This window comes from Homo sapiens, chromosome 14, assembly GCF_000001405.40.
Source record: "Homo sapiens chromosome 14, GRCh38.p14 Primary Assembly".
Classification (NCBI taxonomy): Eukaryota; Metazoa; Chordata; class Mammalia; order Primates; family Hominidae; genus Homo; species Homo sapiens.
This window is the reverse complement of record NC_000014.9, coordinates 91572771-91578770: the sequence shown is the minus strand read 5'-3', so window position 1 is coordinate 91578770 and position 6000 is coordinate 91572771. Positions and strand designations below refer to the sequence as shown.

Sequence of the window (6000 nt, the reverse complement as noted above, 5' to 3'; positions counted from 1 at the left end):
GTATTTACAATCCTCTAGCTAGACGTAAAAGTTCTCCAAGTCCCCACTAGATTAACTAGACACAGAGCACTGATTGGTGTGTTTACAAACCTTGAGCTAGACACAGGGTGCTGATTGGTGCGTTTACAAACCTTGAGCTAGACACAGAGTGCTGATTGGTGTATTTACAATCCTTTAGCTAGACATAAAGGTTCTCCAAGTCCCCACCAGATTAGCTAGATACAGAGTGCTGATTGGTGCATGCAGGAACCCCGAGCTAGACACAGAGTGCTGATTGGTGCATATACAATCCTGCTGCTAGACATAAAAGTTCTCCAAGTCCCCACCCAACTCAGGAGCCCAGCTGGCTTCGCCTAGTGGATCCCACGCCAGGGCCGCGGGCGGAGCTGCCCGCCAGTCCCGCACCGCTGGCCTGCACTCCTCAGCCCTTGGGCGGTCCATGGAACCGGGCGCCATGGAGCACAGGGTGGTGCCCCTCAGGGAGGCTCAGGCTGTGCCGGAGCCCACCATGGGGCGGGGGGGGGGGGGGGGGGGCGGGGCTTGGGCATGGCAGGATGCAGGTCCTGAGCCCTGCCCTGCCAGGAGGCGGCTGAGGCCCTGCGAGAATTCAAGCGCGGCGTGGGTGGGCTGGCAGTGCTGGAGGACCCGGCACCCCCTCCGCAGCTGCTGGCCCGGGTGCTAAGCCTCTCACTGTCCCAGGCCAGCCGCTCCGAGTGCGGGACCCGCTAAGCCCATGCCTACCTGGAACTCGCGCTGGCCGGTGAGCGCCTTGCACAGCCCCGGTTCCCGCCCAACCCCGGTTCCCACCCGCGCCTCTCCCTCCACACTTCCTCTCAAGCAGAGGGAGCCGGCTCCAGCCTTGGCCAGCCCAGAGAGGGGCTCCCACAGTGTAGCAGTGGGCTGAAGGGCTCCTCAAGCGTGGCCAGAGCGGATGCCAAGGCCGAGGAGGCGCTGAGAGCGAGTGAGGGCCACCAGCACGTTGTCACCTCTCAAAACCATCCCTCTGAAGTCAAGCTGCTTGTCTCTGACATCAGACCACAGTCTCCAACGTCCAGCTGCTTCTCCTCTTCTCCCCTTCTCTGCTCTCTGCCAGTACGGTAAGGGGTTTTTAATGGGTACAGGATTGGGGGTGTGGCAGGCCATGTGTGGTTTTGGAAAAGGCAATATTTGAGCGGGAAAACAAGAATCTCACTTTAGGCCATGGTTCCAAGCTTGAGGGTGGGGCTTCTCCAGGGACTCTGCCCTTTTCTGCTTAGAATTTCTCTGCCTCCTGTCCCTATCACTAACAGCGTTCTCAGGAGGATCAAATGAATGAATACGTGTAAAATGTTTAGAACAGGACCCATTTACAGTGAGTGTGTTAAGTGTTGGGTGTAATTGATGCTGCTGCCCCTGCTGATGTTTTTAGGTCGTAAGTAATAGATTTTTGTCTAATTAAAATAACAAGGGAGATGCACTGAACAAACACTACAGAATGTCAGATAAACAAAGCAAAGTCTAAACAATCAGTTTTTGTCATGGGCAGGAATGAGGACCATTCTGGGGACCTAGGAAACAAGTGTTTGTCAACTCCTCCGAGCTTCCCTTGGACCAGGGGTCTAGAGATAGAGTATAGCACAGTGGTTAAAAGTATAGGCTCCAGAATCTAAAGCCTGGGTTTTTTCTCTTAATAAACTTTTAAAAATGTTAGAATAGTTTAAGATTTACAGAAAAGTTGTGAAGACAGCGCAGAGAGTTTCTGTGTAAAACTCAGAAGACTTTGTACCGGGCTTGGGCCAGTTACAAACTGTGTGCTTGGGCCCACTCCCACCCTGTGGAGTGCTTTCTTGCTTTAATAAATATCTGCTTTCATTGCTTCCTTCCCGTATTTCATTTCTTTGTTACTTTGTGCGTTTTGTTCAATGCAATGTCTCACTCTGTTGCCCAGACTGGAGTGCAGGGGCATGATCACAGCTTACTGCAGCCTCAACTTCCTGGGCTCCAGGAATTCTTACAAACTTGGCCTGTAAAAATTTCCCCAGACTTTAGGCAATACAGTGAACACATTTCTATAAACTGCAATTCTACAATGTAGCTCTTTTCTATTCTGATGCCTAACACCTTTCAGTTTATTTTGATTTAGAATCTACCACTTGACAAACAGTGGGACACAGGAAGGATTTTGAGGTTTCGGCTGCAAGGGTAGCACATTAGGAAATGGCAAAGATTTCACTGTAGGAAGAATTCAGGTGATACTTGGTTGGCCAGGCTTATTACTCAGTTTTTATAGCAGTAACAACCCTCAGATCTCACTCTCAGTTGCTTATAACAATAAACATTTCTTGCCCACTGTTCAGCCGATCAGCTGTGGTGGCTCCATATGTCTCTCATTCTAGGACACAGGCCAAAGAGCAGGGGCCACTTGGGCAGCTGTACAACACATCTGCTTGTAGTTTATCACCCAAATCAAATCATGTGGCCAGCCAGGCTTGGTGGCAAACACCTGTAATCCCAAAACTTTGGGAGGCCAAGGCAGGAGGATCACTTGAGGCCAGGCATTCGAGACCAGCCTGGGCAACATAGTGAGACCTGCCCCCCACCACCACCACCAAAAAAATAAAAAAATAAACCACCAAAAAAAAAAAAAAAATAAGCCACACACACACAAAAAAAATTAGCCAGGCGTGGTGGTGTACACCCATAGTTCCAGCTAATCGGGAGGCTGGGGTGGGAGGATCACTGGATCCCAGGAAGTTGAGGCTGCAGTAAGCCGTGATCATGCCCCTGCACTCCAGCCTGGGCGACAGAATGAGTCATTGCTCGAACGAAATGCACAAAGTAACAAAGGAATGAAATACAGGAAGGAAGCAATGAAAGCAGATATTTATTAAAGCAAGAAAGTACTCCACAGGGTGGGAGTGGGCCCAAGCACACAGCTTAAGGGCCCAGTTACAAAGTTTTCTGGGTTTTAAGCCCTCCTTTGGAGATTCCTATCAGTTACCCCTGATCTGGATGAAGGATTTGGTCCGTGGCTAATTACAGGCTGGGGTGAATTAGAGCCCTAGGCAGATGAAGGCATGGCCCCTGCTCGGCCCGCGGCCAATCCAGGGCACTCTCCCTTTCCATCTGAGCTGTGGTGGAAGCCGGAGGGCTGTAGGGAGAGTGGCCTTTGATCCTTTGTTACTGGGCGTGGGGAGCTGGGGTTTTCTCTTTTGGTTTAGCTTTAGGAAGTTGGCATTAATTGTTCTTTGGTTCCCTGCCCCAGACACAGGTGCTCCCCTTTTGGTCCAGCTTTGGGAAATTATCGTGAATTGGCCTCAGAGTCCTGCCCCCAGACCTTGGTGTTTTCCCTTGATTCAGCTTTAGGAAGTCGGCATGAATTGGGCTTAAGTTCCCTGCCTCCAGACCCTATTCTCCTGCCTCAGCGGTAAGGAGACTTCTATGGCGATGTGCTTCCACCAGAACACAAAAACGGGAGCTGCTGGAGTCTCCTTAATGCCTGGTCTTGGCTGCCCCCGGAATGTCACCTCTGCCTCATTCTACTATCAAGGTGGTTGCAGGGACAGCCCAGGTTCAAAGGAAGGAGAAGTAGACTCCCCCTCTTTTGACTGGCAAGGGGACATTGCAAAAAATCCTGTCGTTTGGGGGGGATTGTTGTAGTCATCTTTGGAAACACAATCTGCAACTTTGATGTTCATCAAAGAAATCTGCTTGAGCTGTGAGCTCAACTGGTATTCGACTTAAGAAATCCACAAAATCGGTTCTGAACTGCATTTTCATCTCAGCGTTTGGCCACGGGCAATGAGAGCTTCATTCAGAAGAGTCACAAAATCGTTCTGACTAAGACCATTTTGTCTAGATCAGTAATTTGGGGATTTGCCTGTCTCAGTGCCATCAGAAGCAACCACCTAACCCAGAAATGCTAACATTCCTCTTCTTTCAGCAGTCACTGACTACCTACATCCCTCAGCTCCCTCCCCATCTCACATCACCCTCAGGGGCCTCTGAGCACAGCATCACCGAGGGGGCCACAGCAGCAGAACCTCCTACCCAGATCTCTGTAGGCACTGCCATCATGTGACTAAACTCCCCTCTCAACCACAACCTCCAGCTACAGGGCTCTCATCCAAGTCAAAAATCCAAAGACAGGCGTCTGGCTGGCTGCAGGAGTCCAGAGCCATGAGTGTCCCTAAATTAGTCAACCATGGCTGGGAGACAGAGCCATGCAATCCAGACCCAGCTCTTCTGCTCACTGGGGCCGTTCCCGGAGAAGGAGAAACCACGCTGGAGCGGGCACTCCCACGAGTTGTCGGGGAACAAGAACTCGGATCCTGGCGGGAGAGAGCGAACAGTACACCCGAGCGGCGGCTGTCACCCGCTTTGAAACACGTAAGTGCCCGGCCAACCAGCATCCCAGAAACGCCTGGGGAGCGGGGCGCGCGGACGAGGAGAGACCGCGCTGGGAGGGCGCGGAAGGGCGAGGGCGCTGCCGCCTCCACGCTGAGCTCACTGCGCGGGGCGGCCCCCGAGGCAGGGCGCGGGGCGGAGGCGCCCGAGTGGTCCGTCTCGGGAGGCGCAGACGCGGTTCCTCTCGAGGGCGCTCCCGCTGTGAGGAGCAAATCCTAGGGACCTTTGCGTCATGAGCACCCAACGGGGCCCGCCCCCTTAGGACCTGCACCTGCCTGAGGGGAAAACCCGCCCACCACCCACGGTCGCCCGCAGCGCTTGCCTGCCAGCCTTCTCATCTGCAAGCCGCCTCCTCCCTGCCAACCTCCTCCTCCCTGCCCAGCCTCTTTCTCTCTGCCAGCCTCCTCCTCCCCCATCGGCCGCCTCCTCTCCTGCCAGCCTCCTCCTCCCTGCCAACCTCCTCCTCTCCTGCCAGCCTCCTCCTCCCTGCCAACCTCCTCCTCTCCTGCCAGCCTCCTCCTCCCTGCAAGTCTCCTCCTTCCTGCCAGCCTCTTTCTCCCTGCCAACCTCCTCCTCTCCTGCCAGCCTCCTGCTCCCTGCAAGCCTCCTCCTTCCTGCCAGCCTCTTTCTCCCTACCAACCTCCTCCTCTCCTGTCAGCTTCCTCCTCCCTGCCAACCTTCTGTCCTGCCACCCCCCTCTTCCCTGCCAGTCTCCCCCTCTTCTGCCAGCCTCCTCCTCCCCTGCCAGCCTCTTCCTTCTCACCAGCCCCCTCCTCCCTTTTCATCTAAGATCATTTGACCTGTCATTCAAGGCCTAGTTGAAATGTCACCTCTGTAGAAAAGTTTCTCCCCAGTTCTCTCTGATAGTTAGTTCTTTCTCTCCTTTGAGTGGGGTAGCATGGTGCACATTTCTATATCAAGCTTCTTGGCCCGGTTTTGGTATTTACATGCTTATCTCTCCCCTGCAATAGGGACAGTGCTAACTTTCTGTCACATTTCTTTTTAATGCCTTCCTAAAAGAGTGACCAACACATGGGTGATATTCAACAAATGATTGAAAAAGAAAAAACAAGAAAAAGAAAAATGCTGTTTATAATCAGGTTCAGGGGAGACTATGAGAATATAAATAAGACATAAGAACATCTTGTTATAAGAGAAGTTCATATAAAATACATTTCAGGCACAGACTAGACACTCAATAAATATTGCCTGAAAATGAATACAAAGAAAGAACTCAAAATAAGAGGCTTTGGGGAATCATTATATATATATAATTATAAGGGAATTGGTTTTTTTGGTCTCTAACTTTCTAACTTTCTAAGAGTAATAACTGGAAAATTTAGAAAATAAAAGTATGAAAAAAATATAAATCATACCACTTAAAATTTAGGCATACTTCTTAATCTTTTATGGTGTGTGTGTGTGTGTGTGTGTGTGTGTGTGTCCATACACATTAAACATACGTAATATAGATACATTAACTGGGTCTAAATGGAAAGGAAAGTAACATGAAGAGCTTGCTGCCATATGACATTCGTAATTTATTATATGTTGGTCTTTTTTTTTCTTTTTAAAAGTCTTTCCCTCTTTCCTTTGCATTTGAATATAGGTTGT

At 51.0% G+C, this 6000-nt stretch overlaps 1 long non-coding RNA gene across 3 annotated transcripts in view; it reads left to right on the top strand.

Moving 5' to 3' along the window:
- Window positions 1-948: 948 nt before the first annotated feature.
- Window positions 949-6000, top strand: part of LOC101928957 (uncharacterized) — a 57307-nt gene continuing 52255 nt past the window's right edge. For 2 of the 3 annotated variants that reach the window (XR_944152.4, XR_002957619.2), the window contains exon 1: window positions 2905-4368. This is a non-coding gene — a long non-coding RNA (uncharacterized LOC101928957). Of the gene's footprint in view, window positions 1098-2904; window positions 4369-6000 lie in introns of those variants that run through there. The other variant, XR_007064306.1, reaches the window with a different exon arrangement.